General features: G+C 55.6%; 1 protein-coding gene and 1 long non-coding RNA gene across 8 annotated transcripts in view, besides 4 other annotated features; one reads left to right on the top strand and one right to left on the bottom strand.

Annotated features, from left to right (window-relative positions):
- LMF1 (lipase maturation factor 1) overlaps positions 1-19,612 on the top strand; it is a 127,980-nt gene that overhangs the window by 5,854 nt on the left and 102,514 nt on the right. For 3 of the 7 annotated variants that reach the window (NR_147885.2, NM_022773.4, NM_001352021.2), the window contains exon 1: positions 4,776-4,972. The exons of 3 other annotated variants lie outside the window; for them this stretch is intronic. Coding sequence is in view for 2 of the 4 variants with exons in the window: in NM_022773.4 (NP_073610.2) it covers positions 4,780-4,972 (193 nt within the window). In the remaining 2 variants the exon portion in view is untranslated. Of the gene's footprint in view, positions 1-4,760; positions 4,973-19,612 lie in introns of those variants that run through there. One more of the 7 variants, NM_001352020.1, reaches the window with a different exon arrangement.
- Positions 2-1,691, bottom strand: LOC124903620 (uncharacterized). The gene is made up of 2 exons (XR_007064935.1): positions 1,149-1,691; positions 2-419 (listed from the first exon to the last, which is right to left on the bottom strand). It is a non-coding gene; the product is annotated as an uncharacterized LOC124903620 (long non-coding RNA).
- Positions 2,607-3,597: an enhancer, noted in NCBI's record as "H3K4me1 hESC enhancer chr16:1022163-1023153 (GRCh37/hg19 assembly coordinates)". NCBI's record gives its function as "activates a minimal SCP1, AML or CMV promoter by ChIP-STARR-seq in naive H9 embryonic stem cells {active_cell/tissue: H9 hESC(naive)}" and the evidence as "EXISTENCE:reporter gene assay evidence [ECO:0000049][PMID:30033119]".
- Positions 4,365-5,534: a silencer, noted in NCBI's record as "silent region_6962". NCBI's record gives its function as "represses an Ori minimal core promoter by ATAC-STARR-seq in GM12878 lymphoblastoid cells {active_cell/tissue: GM12878}" and the evidence as "EXISTENCE:reporter gene assay evidence [ECO:0000049][PMID:35858748]".
- Positions 5,580-6,571: an enhancer, noted in NCBI's record as "H3K27ac-H3K4me1 hESC enhancer chr16:1019189-1020180 (GRCh37/hg19 assembly coordinates)". NCBI's record gives its function as "activates a minimal SCP1, AML or CMV promoter by ChIP-STARR-seq in naive H9 embryonic stem cells {active_cell/tissue: H9 hESC(naive)}" and the evidence as "EXISTENCE:reporter gene assay evidence [ECO:0000049][PMID:30033119]".
- Positions 15,276-15,776: an enhancer, noted in NCBI's record as "H3K4me1 hESC enhancer chr16:1009984-1010484 (GRCh37/hg19 assembly coordinates)". NCBI's record gives its function as "activates a minimal SCP1, AML or CMV promoter by ChIP-STARR-seq in primed H9 embryonic stem cells {active_cell/tissue: H9 hESC(primed)}" and the evidence as "EXISTENCE:reporter gene assay evidence [ECO:0000049][PMID:30033119]".

The raw sequence follows: 19,612 nt of genomic DNA, 5'->3' as shown, positions 1-19,612 counted from the left end.
CTGCTGTCTCCCAAGTATTTATTTTTCTGAGCGTGGGGAAGGAAGGCTTAATTAAGATGCCCTCAGGCGGGTACGAGGGGCAAAGTGGGAGCAGGGAGCGTGCTTCCTCTGTGGCCTTGGTTCAGACAACAGCCTTCAGCAAAGCTTTGCTCTAGAGGCTCATAGGAAGGGACAGAGGGCACAGGCCCAGCTCAGCCTTTCCCCTGCCTTTCTTGGGGCCTGGGCATGGACAGCACCGCCTGGCGACACACAACGGTGGGCTCTGAGGCTGTTTGTTACGCAGCATTAATGTGGCCGTCGGTGACCGCTACACGGTGACTGATAACTGCACTGTGGGTAGAGCTCAGCCCGCAGGGCTCTGGTTTGTGACCTCTGGGCCAGGCAACTCTCAAGGCTTCTTCCAGTGCAGAATATGATTCCTAGAGAAAAAAAAAAAATTACACATTCGTTTCCTAACATAGGGCCCTGCAACCGGAGAACACCACCACATTGGGAGCTGTGCTTTCCACTGTCTAGAAACCATGGCTTGCCAGCTTGCAGGGTCACATGGAGCCGCATCTCCTTCTGGGGTGCAGGGGTGGGAACACTCGTGACCTGTAGCCGAGGGTGCAGGGAGAGGACAGGGTGAGCCAAGCAGAACAGCCGTCTGTGAGTCATCGTCCCAGGACAACCAGCAAATGGCACAACACCTGCTCTCTCAGCCCCCACCCGCACCTGCCAGCCTCACGTGGGGGGTGGGGGGGTTGGCCGCTGGACAGTCACAGCAGGATCTGCCCAAACTGACCACCCTTCCAGGAGGAGGCAACAGATGTTAGCATCCACGGGTCCTGGGCCCCCCTTCCATACCCAGACTTCAGGACATGAAAAATTGGGGTAAATGAAGGGTGCACGATTATCTTCGGGCCCACACTGGCTTCCTGCGGGTGCCAGAGACAGCTGCCACCGCATGCCAGGGACAATGGCCCCGAGGAGGCGGGAGCTGCCAGGCCGGGGTGCTGGGGGACAGCTGGACGAGGTGCCGACAGGGGCTCATTCCTCCCTGAAGCCGGCCCGCAGCTGCTGGGAGCGTGGCCAGCCACGGGCTTGTGTGTGCCTGGGTCCTGGGGGCTGTGCTGGCGCAGGCCGGGACGGCGGGGACAGGGTCCCACCTAGGGCAGGCTGGTCGGTCTCCGGGGAGGCAGCCCAGTCTTCAGCCTGCGTGCTCTTGGGGTGTCCGTCCCTTCCTCCCCATTCTCCTCCTCTTCTCAGCGTCTTCTCCCCCAGCACCGGGCAGCCCTGGGGTGGCCGAGCCTCATCTCCACTCCCCTCCCTCAGGCCTCTCCTGGGTCAGCCTGGCTTTTTCTCTTAGAGTTTTTGCTTGACAGGGCACTCTCAGGACGCCCTCCTCCTCCTCCCGCCTCGGGTTGGTGTGAGGCGCTCAGGGCAGGGCCCACGTGCCTGTGGTCACAGGACACTGAGCTGCAGGGTGAAAGGACCACACCTGGCCGATCTCCCGGCCGCTGCAGCTCACTCTGGGTTTGCAGAGAAGCCTGTTTTTAAGTGAAGTGCCTTCTTAGAGAATAAGACACACCTGTATCTAAATGTTATTTTTAAACTGCTAGATGCGCCTTAATATAGACAAAGAAGTAAGGTGAGCGTAAATGACATGATGTATTCCGACAGGTGACAGCGCCTTCCGGGCGATTCTGAAACACCAGTGCAGGGCTGTCTGTTGTCTTTTGTTTTCATTTTACTTTTTTTTTTTTTTTTTGAGACAGAGTCTCGCTCTGTCGCCCAGGCTGGAGGGCAGTGGCACGATCTCGGCTCACTGCAAGCTCCAGCCCCCGCGTTCACGTCATTCTCCTGCCTCAGCCTCCCGAGTAGCTGGGACTACAGGCGCCCGCCACCATGCCCGGCTAATTTTGTTGTTGTTGTTGTATTTTTAGTAGAGACGGGGTTTCACCGTGTTAGCCAGGATGGTCTCGATCTCCTGACCTCGTGATCCACCCGCCTCGGCCTCCCAAAGTGCTGGGATTACAGGCGTGAGCCCCGGTGCCCGGCCTCATTTTACTTTTCTAAAATTCGAGGCGAAATTCACATAGCATGAAATAAGCCATTTGCCAGTGAACGACTCGGTGTTTAGCACCTCACAGTGCTGGGCAGCCATCGCCTAGTTCCAGAAGATTCTCATCAGCCCAAAAGAAAACGTCCTACCCCCGGACCACTGGCTCCCCACTCCCCGTCCCCAGACCTGGACCACAGAGCTCCCTCCTTTCCCCGTGGCTTTGCCCACCCCGGACATTTCATGTAAATGGGCTCACGCAACTCATGACCTCCGCGTCTGTCCTGTCCCACTGAGCTTGATGTTCTGAGGTTCATCTGTGTTGTAGCACGTGTCAGAACTGGATTCCTTTTTATTTTATGTTTTATTTTAGTGAGACAGAGTCTCGCTCTGTGGCCCAGGCTGGAGTGCAGTGGCGCGATCTAGGCTCACTGCAACCTCCACCTCCCGGGTTCAAGCGATTCTCCTGTCACAGTCTCCCGAGTAGCTGGGATTACAGGTGCCCGCCACCACACCTGGCTAATTTTTTTGTATTTTTAGTAGAGGCGGGGTTTCACCATGTTGGCCAGGCTGGTCTTGAACTCCTGACCTCAGGTGATCCACCTGCCTCGGCCTCCCAAAGTGCTGGGATGACAGGCGCCCGGCTCCTGGATTCTTTTTGATGGCTGAATCATAACCCAGTGCACTTTTGATTAAATTCAGGCTGAAATGGGCACGACCAGAGCTGCTGGTCCACCTCTCCCCGGCCCAAGCCCTGCCCCCGGTGACCTGCTCTGGAGCCATTCTGGGCAGTGGATGGGACCCCTGCGGTCAGCGTCTCAAGAGAGCAGACCCTGAGGGAAACTTGAGCTCAGAGAGAACAGGAGCTCCCAGCAGACCCTTCCGCTGACTGCTCCCACCCTGGGCAAATGCAGAGCCGGAGCCCGGAGCGCTGGAAGCTGGAACAAGAGGCCCTTTTCTGCTCTGCACAATGCCCCATTGTGCCCTTCGCGGGGAGAGCAGCTCGGCCCAGCGAGGGGAAGCTGTGCACAAAGCCTCCTTGTGAGGGCAGCCCCACCTGAGGACAGCGCAGGGCCACACCTGACGCAGGGCAGTCCCTCTCGCCGTCCGTCCCCTAGCAGGCCTGGCACCCAGACAGGGCCCGCTCTGCAGGCGTGGTCCCAGGGTGTGGGGCTCCCTGTTCCCCACAGATGAGGGGAACAGTGTGGGCTGTGCCGGCCCTTCCTAAGCTGGCCCCCAGGTCACGAGGAGAGGTACGGGTCGTGGGCTCTGTGGAGGGACTTGGGTGCCGGGCGCCAGCCAGGGCCGATGCCTCCTGCGATCCCCAAGGCTCCGAGCCCTCAGGCACACACCACGCTCCCGGAGGCTGGGCCAGCATGCGGAGGATGTTTGTGTGTTCGTACCCGTTGCAACATCTTTAACAGGGTCCCATTTCACAGCTGGGCTCCTAAGGGGGGTTTCATAGAAAAGAAATGGAAACTAAAAATGAATTAAACCATAAGATGTACACGTATGCTACGGCCCCAGCAACACAGGGAAGGTGGAGGCTGAGAGGAAGCTCGGGCCACTGCTGGTCAGGCCTGGATTTGGGGGCCCGATGTCCACAGTCAGTCCCTGCCCACACAAGGCTCACACTGCAGGTGGTGAAGATATAATTAAACAGGTAATTAAACAAGCAATAAAGACGGGTCATTTGACCAACCCAGTGGCGATAATTGATACGCCAAAACACTAGGAAAGCTAGAGAGGCAAAAGAGAAGAATACATGAAAACAAAAACAAAAAACCAGGACAAATATTTCCAATATACACAAAAGAACAGGATTTTTCATACGTAAAGAGTGCTGACAAATGAATAAGGAGAAATCTGCACTTCCACCTAAGTGCCCCACAGTTTATTCACTAACCCCTAGGTCTCCAATGCCTACTCTAGCCTCACGCCCTTTCTTTCCTCTAAGGAATGCCTGTGACCCCAGCCCTTCCTAGCACCCGCTTCACATCAGCCTCCAGAACCCCGCTCCAGTCATCAGAGTGTAGAGTGCTGGCGTCCTCCTTCATGTTCTGTTTGGGGCATTGGGCAGTTAGCCCTTCCCTCCTGAGTCCTGAGTCCCCCTCTTCCCCCACAGCTTGAAGTCCAGTCCCAAGGGCAGGCAGGAGCTGGGTTGTGCAAAGGCGGAAGGGTGCTCAGGCTGGGAGAAAGGGGAGGGTCCCCCGAGCATTCCAGGCACAGCCCTGCCTACTCTGTCCCTTGCTGGCTGCGACGATCGCCCTAGCACCCTCCTCCGCAGAGAGTGAGTGTCAGCTGTGAGGCAGGGGCACGCAGTGGTAGCACCGCCAGGGCCTGTGCAGCCCACCTTCCCCAGGACCACAGCTGGGAAGGCGCCTGGCTGGGGGAGGGCACCTGGCCTCTGCAACTCGGACTGACGGAAGGCACGCGTGCCTGCCCCAGTGAGCTCGGGTCGGGCGACGCGCACCACCTCCCAGGTACCCGGCCCCGCGCCCTACCCGCAGCAGCGCCCAGCGAGAACTGCGAAGGAGGCAGGCTCCGGGCACCCGCTCCCGCGCGTGGGCGGGGCCGGCTGGAGGGGGCGGTGCCTCCGGGACTGTGAGCGGGGCCTCCCGGGGTGTGGGTGGGGCCTTCGGCCGTGGGCAGGGCCGGCCAGGGAGAGGCGGGGCCTCCGAGAATGGGCGGGGCCTCCGAGAATGGGCGGGGCCTCCGGGAGTGCGCCCTCCCCGCACATGCGCCCTGACAGCCCAACAATGGCGGCGCCCGCGGAGTCGCTGAGGAGGCGGAAGACTGGGTACTCGGATCCGGAGCCTGAGTCGCCGCCCGCGCCGGGGCGTGGCCCCGCAGGCTCTCCGGCCCATCTCCACACGGGCACCTTCTGGCTGACCCGGATCGTGCTCCTGAAGGCCCTAGCCTTCGTGTACTGTGAGTGCCGGGCGGGCCCGGGACATCCGCCAGTGTCACCTCCGCGCACCACGACCCCCGCCCTCCCTCGAGACTCCTCCGCGCGGTCTCGCGGCCGCGGCGCCCCCACGCAGCCCTCCTTCCTGCTGGGGCCCGGGCAAGGCGGGGCGGGCAGGGCAGGACAAGGCTTGCTGGCGACAGCGCACCCGGCCCTACCCCTGTCGCCGCCTCGAGCCTCCGGCCTGGGCTCCTGGGCTCCCGGTTCCACCCGCAGCCCCGAAGTTGCACGGCCGCGCCTGCCAGGACCGGCTCGGGGCTATGCGAGGCGGGGCCGGCCCGGGCCCTGGCCCAGGAGTTCCCAGGAGAGCTGGGCAGGTGGAGGGTCACCCGTCCGTGCGCAGGTCGGGGGTCTGCGTCCTGGCTGCGGGGCGGGGGGCGGCCTGGAGAGGCGAGGCGCTCCTGCTGTCCCCGACACAGCGCTGTGCTGACGGTGAAGGTTCCCACTGTAACTGGACGCCCGCACGCCACATCCCTGCCGCGTGCGGCCCCTGCCAAAATCCGAGGAGCCGGCCCGGGAGCCTCCTTCGCGTCTCCCAGGGGCTGAGGGAAGGTGACTGGCTGGTGGCCAGACTGGAGTTTCTCCTTTAGTGTTCTCGACTAGCTCAGTCTGCGTTCGGGAAGATTCCCAGCGGAGGTCTGGGGGCAGCTCCGGAACCTCATCTGCAAGTGAAGCCTGCGCCTCACTGTGGGATGTGGTTGGCCGGGTCCACTGGCGGAGACCCTTCACCCCACAGCTGTGCGGGGCCCGCGTGCGCAGCCTACAGAGCAGAGCTCTGAGAAAAGTCAGTTCACGCTCAAAACCTCTGGATCCCCTGGCCAGGGGCAGCTGGCGATTCCAACTCCCTCTCTCCCCAGTCCCTACAACCCAGAACTGGTTTGGAAGAGAACGGTTCTGTGATCACGGTGACATGTGATCACACGGATACATGTTTCATAAGCCCAACGTGTCAGGAGCTACGAACCTCAAGTGAGGCTCTCAAATGAGTATGGAAGTGAGGGGAGCCTGCCAGGCCGAGATGCAGCCAGCGGGGCGCGTGGGCAGTCACCGTCCCAGAGGGCTCCGGAGCTGCTGGCCCCGGGCGTTGCCCACGCGTTGGTTGTAGGCCGTGGGCATTGGACGTCTCCCTTTCCTTCCATCGTCTGCTTCCCTCACGTGTGGAAGGAAAGGGTCAGGTTGCAGAAGTTCTTCTTTGCACAGCCTTTGTGCCACACACGTCGCGGGAAGTTTGGTAGCCTGGTTGTGCTGGAGTGATGCTCAGTTCGACGTTTTGTGTGACATTTGTGTGATACTTTCCACCTCCTGGTGCAAAGTGATGAGACGCGCTCATCACTACAAGGTTTCCTGTGGGATTGCAGTATCGGCTTCAACTGGGTCTGTGTCTCTCTCTCTCTTTCTTTAAAGCAACTATTTTATTTTATTTATTTATTTTTTTCGAGACGGAGTCTCACTCTGTTGCCCAGGCTGGAGCGCAACGGCACCATGTCGGCCCACTGCAACCTCCGTCTCCTGGGTTCAAGCGATTCTCCTGCCTCAGCCTTCCGAGTAGCTGGGATTATAGGCACGCACCACCATGCCTGACTAATTTTTAAAAATATTTTTAGTAGAGACAGGGTTTCACCATGTTGGCCAGGCTGGTCTCGAACTTCTGACCTCAGGGCCTCCCAAAGTGCTGGGATTACAAGCGTGAGCCACTATGCCCGGCCTGCAATTATTTTAAAAAGTAGTTCTTCCCAGGTTGCTTTTCCCTCCACAGTATTAAACAGTCATTTTAAATGTTGGTGCTGTCACTTAGCAAACGATGAAGTAGAGATAAAGTGAAGCTGTGAGGCTCTAATAGGCCTTCCACAGGGGAGCCCGAGATACAGCAGGAAGTCCCAGCGGCCTTGCCTCCGGAGCACAGCTTCATAAAACCAGCTCAGACTCTTTCAAACGAGCTGAGGCTCCTTTGATCTCCGCAGGGATTCTCTGTTCAATTCAGAAGGAACTGCTTTTAAGCCACTGGGTCAAGCGGATATTTTAAGCCTGGTGCCCAGCATTGAACATTTCTCCTTGACATATGCACGTTCTTCTGTCTTGTGAGTACATTTGGGGTAGAATCAGTGTTTTTCTGCTGTATCAAGGAACCAGTTTCCCATCTTTCAGGGACATGGTTTTCTGGCTGAGCTGGCCCAGGGCAAGCAGGCAGTCATCCTGCATTTATCTCCTTCTAGAAAGTTCTGGATTTTACTGGGACTGTGCGCTACTCCCTGTTCCTCAGAATCCCAGGGTTTTTCCAAGTTGCCATAGGGGCTCTCCAAATATTTCACTTGATACTGAATTTTACAATGTTTATAGCTATTGAAACACTTGTAATTAAACACATAACCAAATGTATTCTGTGGAAACTCCCCTTGTTAAAAGACATTGAACTGAGGGAGGCTTACCCTTAGGCAGATTGTCTCAGCAGACATGTAGTAAAGATGTACAGATCAGGAGAACACAGAAACGCCTGCCCTGTCGGGGAAGCTTCGAAGCCAGACCTGGAGAGGCCGGCTGCCAGCGACAGGCCTCTGCATTCAACCTGACTTTGCATCCGTCCTGGGGCTGGCTCCTTCCCACCGCGGGCCTGGGCGTTTCCATGTGCTGCCACCGAGGTGTGTAGGTGCTAGGGGTGTGCTCACTGCACACAGACGTGCATACCGCGGGCGTCCTGGGGTGTCGGGCATGCCCTGCTGTGCTGTGGGAGCCGGAGTGTGTTAGCGGAAAGCGGCATTTTCACAGGGCTCAGAGTTGAAGACACACCTGTCTTCCTGACGTGTGGACTCGGGTCCCTAGTGTGATTACTGCGTTGAGCAGATGCTGAAGTAGCACCCTGCCCGGTGCTGACCTCCTGGTGACAACGCCACTACCCCCAGTGGACAGCGAGGAAGCAGGGTCAGCCACTGGCCCGGCTGTGCAGCGATTGTCCGTAGGCCCTGGAGTTCAGCCCTGCCCTTCATTCACGCCACTGTGCAGCCTGCGTATCCTGGACACCCGGTTCACATCTGGGCAGCGGCGTTCTCGGGCCGTGACGGCTCCTGGGAGGACCGAGGCTGCCCGAGGTGGTCGGGGATGCCTGACACTGACACTGAGCTTCCCCTCAGCACAGATGTCACTCCCAGGAATGGCTGAAATCTGGACGAGTAAAAGCTTATGTGACAGGAGTTTCCGGCCTAAGCAGCGGGACCTGGGTGCCATGTTCTTGGTGTGTAGGGGCAGTGCCGGCCGCCCATGGGTGCCGGTGCCTCCTGCAGTCAGGCCTGCTGCTGTCTGTGTGCGCAATAAGGAAACCGAACCCAAGAGTGGGCACCATGCCCAGGCTCACCGGAACAGAGGGCAGAGCAGCCTGGCCAGAATCCCTCACTGTTTTATGGCAGGAACCCCCAGGGTCGTGCGTCGACGTTGTGGCCCGGCGTTCCCTGCGGAAGATTGAGGCCCTCACTGGTCAACCCTGCAGTACGGGGGCGTGTGTGGCAAACAGCTGGTCTGGAGCCTCGTCAGCCAGGCCGGCTCCTTGATGCTTTGAAATCCCCCTCCCAGGGGGCCTGGCCAGGTCCGTCCATGGGCGGCCACAGGCAGCTGGGGCTGGACTCCTGGAATTTCCAGCAGCCCTGTGTCTGTTACAGCGCCAGTGGTAGAGCTGGATTCCCTGACAAGACGGGGGAAGGACAGCCTTGCAGGTGCTACTGAAGACACCCTAGGCTAGAGCTGCCCACCCTGGGTGGGTTCTCCTGGACTGAACTGACGTTGGTTTGCTATTGATGAGAGTCACATAGTATATGTACACAATGCATTTTAACTGCCTCAGAATTAAGGTGTTATCTGGAAACAGTGTAATTACAGTTGGTCAGAATTGGGTTGATAGCAGTTCACTGCAGAGAACTTTCTGGAAGCTGTGACAGGTGGAAGTAGTGGGGCTCAGGGTTGGTGGGCCACACCTTAGCTGTGTGGCCTTGGCCAAGTTGCTCATCAAGACCTTCCTGTCACTGATGAGGTGAGAGTGACCGCTGGGCCGTCCTGAGGCTGACATGGGATTCCTTGCCTGTGCACACTTCCCAGAAGGCGGACCAAGGACACACCCGCCTGGGAGACGGCTCGCAGGCAGCCACGGAGTATATATATCTGAACGTCGGAAAGGACCTTTCCTTTGAAGCTCAAACATTTATGAGATATTGTTACAATTCGGAAGGGATCTGTAGGTGAAATGTGACATGAAGACTGGGTAACGTTGGCATTTGCAGACTGACTTTATGTGTGGCACTTTTCGTGGGTGCCATGGCGTCGGCGCAGAGACACTCCTGAGGGATTTCGTCTGTCGGTCCATGTGTTTGTGGGGGCCGAGTCCTGGACAGGCCTAGGAGGGAACCGCCCCGGCCAGGGCCGGCTGCTCGGCGCCTGCACAGGGCATGAGTGCTGGGGGCTTTGGGACACACGCTCCCTGCTGCCTCTGGGGCAGATGTCCACCTGCACTGCTTGCAGTGAGAGGCTGGGGCCCCAGTGGACGAGCCGTGGTGCCTGAACTGCTCCCGCTGTGTCCCCGCCACGTGAGGCATCTCTTCCTGACCGTGGTCCTGAGACCACCTGGCCTCTGCCTTCCCAGGGTTAACTGTACTTGTTCTCTCCGTGGCTGCCGACACCCTTCTGGCCTTCAGACTTAGCCCTCATCACTCGTGGACTCCTGACCCCACCCAGGGCTGACCACCGGAGCCCTGCTCTCTGCTTCCTTTGCGGCTGATATTGTCCCCATTCCAGTGTTGTTCTTGTGCCTGTCTCCCCTCTAGCTCCTTGCAGTCAGGGAGAGGACTTTCTTTATACCTCTATCCCTTGTCTTCTAGGGGCATCTCCTGCTCAGTGAAATGTGCTGACCCGTAGCAGGTGGTCTCTACCAGGGCTTAGTGTCAGCATGGGACACTTTTCCAGCCATTACCCCTTCTTTCCCCTCTACCCACCTCCAGCCCCGAGGTGCGGCCCAGCAGGACAGATACTGCCACAGCCCTCCCTTGGTTGTGTTCATACTTCCTGGGCTGCTCATGCCTTCCTGTTTGCTGGTGGATTCTCTTTTTGCTGGAGTGTATCCCCAAGCAGCTTTTCCAGAAAGGACCAACTTGCCCGGATCTCTAATTCTCCATCAAAGCCACTTTCCCTCAGAGCTTTGCAGCATTGAGGAGGCATCTTCAAGCATCTGACTCTTCTTCTCCCTGGAAGCTTCTAAAGTCTCAGTGCCTTGCCCTCCTGCTCTCCACCTTTGCTCTCTGTTCTGGTTATTTATCGAGGAGTCTCTGAGGCTCTTTTTTTTGCTCTCTTGTAGTGGCCTTGGTGAGCTCTTCAGCCTCAAGGCTTGTCCTTGGCTCTGGATGAGGCTCTTCTGGCCTCTCCCCAATCTGCCCATGTGTTCCAAACACCGCATGCCCCAGCTGGGTTCCAAACAGGGCGGGTGGGGGCCACTCTCCTGTCTAGCTTCGTAGCGTGGGCTGAAACCTGGGAAAGTCTCTCCATGAAGCTGAATGGAGAAGAACATGGCTTCCGCGAGGCCCTAGGAGCCAAGCACCACACAGAACCCACCGCTTGGCTGTGATCCCGAGTGACGGGGACAGCCTGGACTGCAGAAGGAATGCCCAACGCTGGCGGGAACGGAGGGGCTTTTCTTGCTCGTCTTTCCAGTTCCACATTGTCACATTGGAGTCCTGGGCTCACTGAGATTATGTTGAAAATCCGACCTCTAGGGGATCTCCATGCTAGTTTTGTCCTTTAGGCGTGGAGGCATGCGTGCCGCACTGTGGCGTCTGTTCTGTGCGCCTGCTCACCGCCCTTCCTTCTTTTCCGCGTGGGGCAGTTTTATCGCGTCTCCCCGGCAGCTGCTTCGGCGAGGTGGGGCCGCGGTGCCATTGGTAGCGTGTCTCTGAGTCTCACCGCAGCCCTTGTAGCTTGGCATCCTCGTCAGATGACACCCGAGGCAGGGTTGACGTGGCAGGCAGAATCGTTTGCACCCGTATTTGCTAAACTCTCAGCTGTTCTTCAGAAAATTTGAGGAGAAAATGAAACCAAAAAGAATACTTGAAACCCTGCTCAGTTGGTTTTGTTCTGAGCTTTCAGTGGCTCTAAGAGCTCATGGGAAATGAGTTCTTTTTCTTTTCTCCGGGCCACTTGAGTTCTAATGAAATGCACCACTTGGTTTTACAAGTTCTTCTATAAAATACTTGCTTGTTTAAAAAGCAAACAGCACTGCCCTACTTCGGAGCTCTGCAGCACATCCCTTAAAGAAAAAATACTTGAGGTCACTGTGCTGAGGCCCAGAATTTAACCACGGCCAGTAAGAACCATCAACAGAGAACGGCATTTCTGGGATGACTGTTTTAATCTTACAACAATTTATCTGAAAGGAGAAAAGAGAAAGCTGATTTTTTTTTTCTGATTCTTTTTTTTTTTTTTTTTTTGAGACAGAGTTTCACTTTTTCGCCCAGGCTGCAGTGCAGTGGTGCAATCTCCTCTCACTACAACCTCCGCCTTCCGATTTCAAGAGATTCTCCTGCCTCAGCCTCCCGAGTAGCTGGGGCTACGGGCACAGGCTGCCACGCCCAGCTATTTCTTTCTGATTCTGAAACAAAGTATTTATCGGCCATGCCTGCTGTTGGCTGCTCGGGCGACACGGTATTTCCTCGGTATTTCCTCGTTGCAGCTCCCAGGTCAGGCTCTGGGTCCCTGTGAGAGGCGGGTGGCCGCCATGGCTCTGCTGCCTCCCGTGTGGGGTAGTGACGGGGCCTTCCGAAGCTTGACTGCTTGGTTAGTTTTGTTTTGAGAGCCTGTGATGTTTCAAGATTTTTACTGCATCTTTTTATGTAGCTATTTTTATAACATGAGTAGAGGTTGAAATAGTTTTTTTCTCTCTGAAATCTCAATTCAGTCTGTCTTCCTTTTTCCTGATAAGCAGGAAGCATCCTATGCTTCTTGCCTTAGAATTACTGATTTAGGCTATTGCTTTGGTGAGGCCACATCTTGTTTTCCTCTGTGGTCCTGGAGTTTGCGTTGTGGTGAGGGGTGGAGCACATCCACCCTTCAGCTAGCGCCAATTAGGTCCCTGTGGGAAAGGGGCCCCAGCCTAGCACCAATGAAGGCTGGGCCCTGGAGTGTGCAGTGGCTGAACAGTCACAACCTGTGTTTCTCCCACCTGCATACATGCCAGGACATACACACATGCATCCCTGCACACGCACACATACATGTGTACATGTGCACACGTGTACAGAGACATGCATACACCCGTGCACACATGGACACAGGGCATCCATGCACAGGTGCACATGTATACATGTGCACATGTGTACAGACACATACACACAGGGACACATGGGCATGTCATACCCATATGCACACACACTGGCCTGAGCTGTGGAAGCTGCTGGTGCGGTCCCTGCACGTGTGGCCGCCGGGGCTGAGGGCCTACCGCGAGGTGTCCTCTATGTTGCTAGGAGGTCAGCGCTCACAGCTCAGGTCCCTTCCACCCAGTGGTGGAGGCAGTAGGGGTGTGGGGAGCCTTCTGCTGCAGCCCTGTTTCCCGCCCTGCGACCCACCCCGAGTCCCCTCTGTGTCCCACCTCATGTCCACCCTGTGTCCAGCCTTGTGTCCAGTCTGTGTCCCGCCCTGTGTCTGCCCTTTGTTTACCCTGTGTCCATCCCGTGCCCGCCTGTGTCCACCCTCTTCCTCCTCACTTGGAGCTGCCCCCACCCACCTGCCGTCGCAGCCCCTTTAGAGGTCACCAGCCCTGACCCTTTCGTCGCCCAGGGCCCTGCGGTGCTCTGCCTGTGGCCCTGCTCCCACTGCCTTGGAGGGAGGCTGCTCACAGCGCTTCATGCCGGGCACTGAGTGGTGCAGAGTCTTCGAGAAACCTTTACTTTTTAAAATTTTTTTATTAAAAATAAAACTATTAACTGAAACTGCAGACTCTATGGCTTTTCCACCCGTGCCTGTTCCGTTCTGGGACCCGGTTTTGTCCTGGCGTCTCCTCCCTCCCTCCCTGGTCTGTGAGTCTCCCAGACTTTCCTGTGCAGGATTCCGACCTTGACAGTGTCAAGCAGGCCTGTCATGGCGTCTGTAGAGCGTCCCTCACGTTGGGTCCGTCTGGTGTTTCCTCGCAATTAGACTGGGTGATGGGTTTTGGGAAGACGCCCACAGAGGTGCGGGGCCCTTCCCGTCACACCGTATCAGGGTCCTGACGTCCGCACGGCTTTCTGATCACCCGGCCAAGGTCTGCCTGCCAGGTGTGCCCTCTGACAGGTCCCTGCTTTCCCGCCCGCTCTGTCCTCTGGAAGCCGCTCACTGGGTCCAGCCCCCGCCTCCTGAAGGGAGTGTCTGCGGACATTATGTGGAATTCCTCTGTGAGGAAGATCTTGTTACTTACTTGTTTGTGGTCACTGATTTTGTCACTATGGACCCACGCCCATTTATTTTCCCTCTGGGTCGTGATCCCGTGCTGTCACCGTGAGTCTGTGTCTGGGTCGTGATCCCATGCTGTCACCGTGAGTCTGTGTCTGGGTCGTGATCCCGTGCTGTCACCGTGAGTCTGTGTCTGGGTCGTGATCCCGTGCTGTCACCGTGAGTCTGTGTCTGGGTCGTGATCCCGTGCTGTCACCGTGAGTCTGTGTCTGGGTCGTGATCCCGTGCTGTCACCGTGAGTCTGTGTCTGGGTCGTGATCCCGTGCTGTCACCGTGAGTCTGTCTGGGTGGTGATCCCGTGCTGTCACCGTGAGTCTGTGTCTGGGTCGTGATCCCGTGCTGTCACCGTGAGTCTGTGTCTGGGTCGTGATCCCGTGCTGTCACCGTGAGTCTGTGTCTGGGTCGTGATCCCGTGCTGTCACCGTGAGTCTGTGTCTGGGTCGTGATCCCGTGCTGTCACCGTGAGTCTGTCTGGGTCGTGATCCCGTGCTGTCACCGTGAGTCTGTGTCTGGGTCGTGATCCCGTGCTGTCACCGTGAGTCTGTGTCTGGGTCGTGATCCCGTGCTGTCACCGTGAGTCTGTGTCTGGGTCGTGATCCCGTGCTGTCACCGTGAGTCTGTGTCTGGGTCGTGATCCCGTGCTGTCACCGTGAGTCTGTGTCTGGGTCGTGATCCCGTGCTGTCACCGTGAGTCTGTGTCTGGGTCGTGATCCCGTGCTGTCACCGTGAGTCTGTCTGGGTCGTGATCCCGTGCTGTCACCGTGAGTCTGTGTCTGGGTCGTGATCCCGTGCTGTCACCGTGAGTCTGTGTCTGGGTCGTGATCCCGTGCTGTCACCGTGAGTCTGTGTCTGGGTCGTGATCCCGTGCTGTCACCGTGAGTCTGTGTCTGGGTCGTGATCCCGTGCTGTCACCGTGAGTCTGTGTCTGGGTCGTGATCCCGTGCTGTCACCGTGAGTCTGTGTCTGGGTCGTGATCCCGTGCTGTCACCGTGAGTCTGTCTGGGTCGTGATCCCGTGCTGTCACCGTGAGTCTGTGTCTGGGTCGTGATCCCGTGCTGTCACCGTGAGTCTGTGTCTGGGTCGTGATCCCGTGCTGTCACCGTGAGTCTGTGTCTGGGTCGTGATCCCGTGCTGTCACCGTGAGTCTGTCTGGGTCGTGATCCCGTGCTGTCACCGTGAGTCTGTCTGGGTCGTGATCCCGTGCTGTCACCGTGAGTCTGTGTCTGGGTCGTGATCCCGTGCTGTCACCGTGAGTCTGTGTCTGGGTCGTGATCCCGTGCTGTCACCGTGAGTCTGTCTGGGTCGTGATCCCGTGCTGTCACCGTGAGTCTGTGTCTGGGTCGTGATCCCGTGCTGTCACCGTGAGTCTGTGTCTGGGTCGTGATCCCGTGCTGTCACCGTGAGTCTGTCTGGGTCGTGATCCCGTGTTGTCACCGTGAGTCTGTGTCTGGGTCGTGATCCCGTGCTGTCACCGTGAGTCTGTGTCTGGGTCGTGATCCCGTGCTGTCACCGTGAGTCTGTGTCTGGGTCGTGATCCCGTGCTGTCACCGTGAGTCTGTCTGGGTCGTGATCCCGTGCTGTCACCGTGAGTCTGTGTCTGGGTCGTGATCCCGTGCTGTCACCGTGAGTCTGTGTCTGGGTCGTGATCCCGTGCTGTCACCGTGAGTCTGTCTGGGTCGTGATCCCGTGTTGTCACCGTGAGTCTGTGTCTGGGTCGTGATCCCGTGCTGTCACCGTGAGTCTGTGTCTGGGTCGTGATCCCGTGTTGTCACCATGAGATGGTGTCTGGGTTGTGATCCAGTGTTGTCACCGTGAGTCTGTGTCTGGGTCGTGATCCCGTGCTGTCACCGTGAGTCTGTGTCTGGGTCGTGATCCCGTGCTGTCACCGTGAGTCTGTGTCTGGGTCGTGATCCCGTGCTGTCACCGTGAGTCTGTGTCTGGGTCGTGATCCCGTGCTGTCACCGTGAGTCTGTGTCTGGGTTGTGATCCAGTGTTGTCACTGTGAGTCTTTGTCTGGGTTATGATCCAGTGCTGTCACTGTGAGTTTGCTGCTCAGCTCCTCCAGCTTTGACCACTGGTGGGTTTCCCCTCCTTCCCCGCAGGGATGCTTCCGGCCCAGCTTCTGTTTCTCTGCCCCAGCCCTAGAATGAGTTGTTTCCAAGGAGCCCTGGTTCTTTTTAGGGGAGCATAGAAACTTCAGTCTGGGCACTGGGAGGGCCGTTGCTCCCGGGGTGTCACAGCTGCTGGCCCTCTTCCTGGGTAGAGCTAGGCTCTGTGTGTCACTATCTCATTTCACACATTTGATTGCTTCTCTGTCGTATCCACCTATCCATCTGTAAGTATACGAAGGTCAACCTGGTCCATGCCGATGACTCTGACTCTCACCTGGCACACGGTGTATTCCAGCCTTCCGTCCTGGAACATGGTGTATTCCATCCTCCCGTCCTGGCACACGGTGTATTCCAGTCTTCCCTGCTGGCCCATCTGAATCCTCCCTCTCTGCTAGTGGGAACCTGGCTCCCCTGACTCCTCTAGCATCTGCTCAGCCCTGGTGCACGTGCGAGAATTGTCCACCCAGGCCCGGGGGGGAAAGCCCTGGAGTGCAGCGTTTGTGTACAGCTCCTTCTGGCCTTGCGGTCTCCACTCAGAACATTTTCCGGAGTTGCTTAGGCGGCTCCTGCCCTCTGGCCAGTGTGTTTCTGTTTCACATCCGTGCGTGTGGAGCCTGTATTCTATCTGCATCCCCCAACCTCCTGGTCGGGTCTTCCCCCAATAGTTTGTGCACATTGAAGTTCATCTCGTGTAATGCTCAGTGCTGTGGGCTTTGCCTCCATCACCCCAGCTCCAGCCCCAAGTCCCCCGTGCATGGGAGTGACCACTTCCCCTGCACCAGCCCCTGGCACGCCCGGGTCTGTCTCCCGTCCCTCTGGTTTTGCCTTTTCCAGTGTGACATACGAATGAAATCACGCAGTATATAGCCTGTTGGGTCTAGATTCTTTTGCTTAGCAAAATGCACTTAAGATTCATCCATGTTATTGCCTGAACCAACAGCTGCATTCTTATCTCTGATTATTTTTCTGTTGCACAAATGCACCTCCGGTTATTTATCCACTTCCACCGTGAAGGATGTCTTCCTTGTTTCTAGTTTTTAGTGGCTATGAACAGAGCTGCTATGAGCATCTGCATGAGGCTTCTGTGCGAGCACACTTTCAGGTTGAAGGCCTGAGAGGTGCAGTAGCTGATTTGTAAGGTAACCCTTCATTATCTGGGTCAGATGCCACCGTCTGCCATCCACAGTGGTAGGCCACAGCATCCCCGGCACAGCGAGGGCACTCCTGCTGTCCCGAACCTTCTGCAGCATTGGGCACTGTCCATGTTCGTGTTTTTTTTGTTTTGTTTTTTTGGTTTTTTTTTTGAGACAGTCTTACTCTGTCGCCGAGGCTGGAGTGCAGTGGCGCTGTGTCGGCTCACTCCAACCTCCGCCTCCTGGGTTCAAGCAATTCTCCTGCCTCAGCCTTGCGAGTAGCTGGGATTCCAGGTGTGCACCACTATGCCCAGCTAATTTTTGTATTTTTAGTAGAGACGGGGTTTCACCACATTGGCCAGGCTGGTCTTGAACTCCTGACCTCAGGTGATCTGCCCACCTCGGCCTCCCAAAGCGCTGGGATTACAGGCATGAGCCACCGCGCCCGGCCTGGGCACTGTCCGTTTTCAAGCACTTCGGCCATGTGACGTGTGTGTGGTGACAGCACGCTGTGGTTTTCATGGGCATTTCCGCAGTGATGAAGGATGTTGAGCATCTTTTCACGTGTTATTTGCCATCCGTACACCTTCCTATGTCTGTTCAGACCTTGTGGCCTGGTTTTTTCTTCCCACCTTTAACATTGGGTTGTTTGTTTTCTAATTATTGAATTTTAAAAGTTCTTTAAATATTCTAGATACAAATCCTTTATCAGATGTGTGATTTGCCAGTATTTTCTTCCAATCTGCGGCTTGTGTTTTCATTCTGTTAAAAGTAGCTTTTGCAGATCAAAAGTTTTTCAGTTTGATAAAGTTCAATTTACAGTTTCTAATTTCATAGATTATGCTTTTGGTGTTGTATCTAAAAACTTGTTGCCAAACCCAAGTCACATAGATTTTCTTCTATATTTCCATCTGGAAGTCTTATGCTTTTATGTTTTACATTTAGGTCTATGATCCTTTTTGGTTAATTTTTGTGTAAGGTGTGAAGTGTGTTCAGGTCCATCTTTTTGCATGTGGACATCCATCTGTTCCAACATGATTGTTACAGAGACTCTTCTTTGTTTTTTTATTTATTTTGTAGAGACTGAGTCTCACTATGTTGCCCAGGCTGCTCTGGAATTCCTGGGCTCAAGCGATCCTCCTGCCTCAGCCTCCCAAAGTGCTGGGATGACAGGTGTGAGCCACCACGCCCGGCCCAAGGCTGCTCTTTGTCTGTGTAGTTGCCTTTGAACCTTTGTCAGAATTTGTTCACTCTGTGTGTCGGGTCGGGGGCAGGGGGGCTGTGTCTGGGCCGTCTCTTCCATTCCATTGAGTTCTGCGGCTCTTCCTTAATCAATACTGCGCTGTCTTGATGTGGTCTTGATTAGCTTTTTAGTAAGTCTTGAAATTGGGTAACATGAGTCCTCCACCTCTGTTCTTTTCCAGATGATTTTGGCTTTTTAATCCCTTTGCTCTCCCATGTATATTCTAGAATCAGCTTGTCAGCCTCGGCGGAAGCACTGACTGGGTGTTTGGTTCAGATTGTGCCGAATTTATGGATCAAATTGACACCTTAATGATTTTGATTTTTCCAATCCATGAACATGGTCTATCTCTTCATATAGTTAGATCTTGTTTCATTTTTTTAATCAGTGTTTTGTAGTTTTCCATGTGCAGATTCCGTTTATATGTTTTTAGATTTATAAATGCATGGGGAAAAGTACATGTACTAGCTTCCTACATGTCTACACAGACACTCACTCCAAACCAGCATGCACAGTTACACAGACATGGACCCCAAGCCAGATTCCTACACGCAGTAGGAAGCCGCATGTACTTGTGGGGTTGCTCTTGTGATATTGTTATCATTATGCAATATCTTCTTTCATCCCTGTGTCATTCCTTGTTTGTAAATTGATTTTTTTCCTTTTGAGATGGAGTCTCTGTTGCCCAGGCTGGAGTGCAATGGTGCCATCTCGGCTCACTGCAGCCTCCCGGGTTCAAGTGATTCTCCTGCCTCAGCCTCCCAAGTAGGTGGGACTACCGGGGTGCACCACCACATCCGACTAATTTTTGTATTTTTTAAGTAGAGACAGGGTTTTGCCATATTGGCCAGGCTGGTCCCAAACTCCTGACCTCAGGTGATCCACCCGCCTCAGCCTCCCAAAGTGCTGGAATTACAGGCGTGAGCCACCGTGCCCGACCCTTAAATCTACTTTTTTTTTTTTTTTTTGAGATGGAGTTTTGCTCTTGTCGTCCAGGCTGGAGTGCAGTGGCGCAATCTTGGCTCACTGCACCCTCCACCTCCCAGGTTCAAGCCATTCTCCTGCCTCAGCCTCCTGAGTAGCTTGGATTACAGGTGCCTGCCACAACGCCCAGCTAATTTTTGTATTTTTAGTAGAGACAGGGTTTTTCCATGTTGCCCAGGCTGGTCTCAAACTCCTGATCTCAGGTGATCCGCCTGCCTTGGCCTCCCAAAGTGCTGGGATTACAGGCGTGAGCCACCCTGCCCAGCCCTTAAATCTACTTTTTATGATGTTAATAGAGCCACTTCCACTTTCTTTTGTTTGTATTTTTTATTTTTATTTTTAATTTTTTTCAGCCATGATGAATTAGATCCAGCTTTCTTTTGATTCACATTTGAATGGTGTATCTTTTTTACTTTCAACTGCTTTTTCATTCTTCACGTTTACACATGGGAATGTGCTTCTCTCACCTGTCAGCATCTCTGGGTAAGCATTCAGTGTTCTACAAATACTGACGTCCAGAGGATGTGAGAGAGCTGTTGTGGGTGGGCGCCGTGGGACATGAACTCGGAGACCTGTGGATGTGAGAGAGCCGTCGTGGGGTGGGCGCCGTGGGACGTGAACTCGGAGACCTGTGGATGTGAGAGAGCCGTCGTGGGGTGGGCGCCGTGAGACATGAACTCG

This window comes from Homo sapiens, chromosome 16 (assembly GCF_000001405.40).
Source record: "Homo sapiens chromosome 16, GRCh38.p14 Primary Assembly".
Classification (NCBI taxonomy): Eukaryota; Metazoa; Chordata; class Mammalia; order Primates; family Hominidae; genus Homo; species Homo sapiens.
The sequence above is the reverse complement of the archived record's forward strand: the minus strand, read 5'-3'. Positions and strand labels throughout refer to the sequence as shown.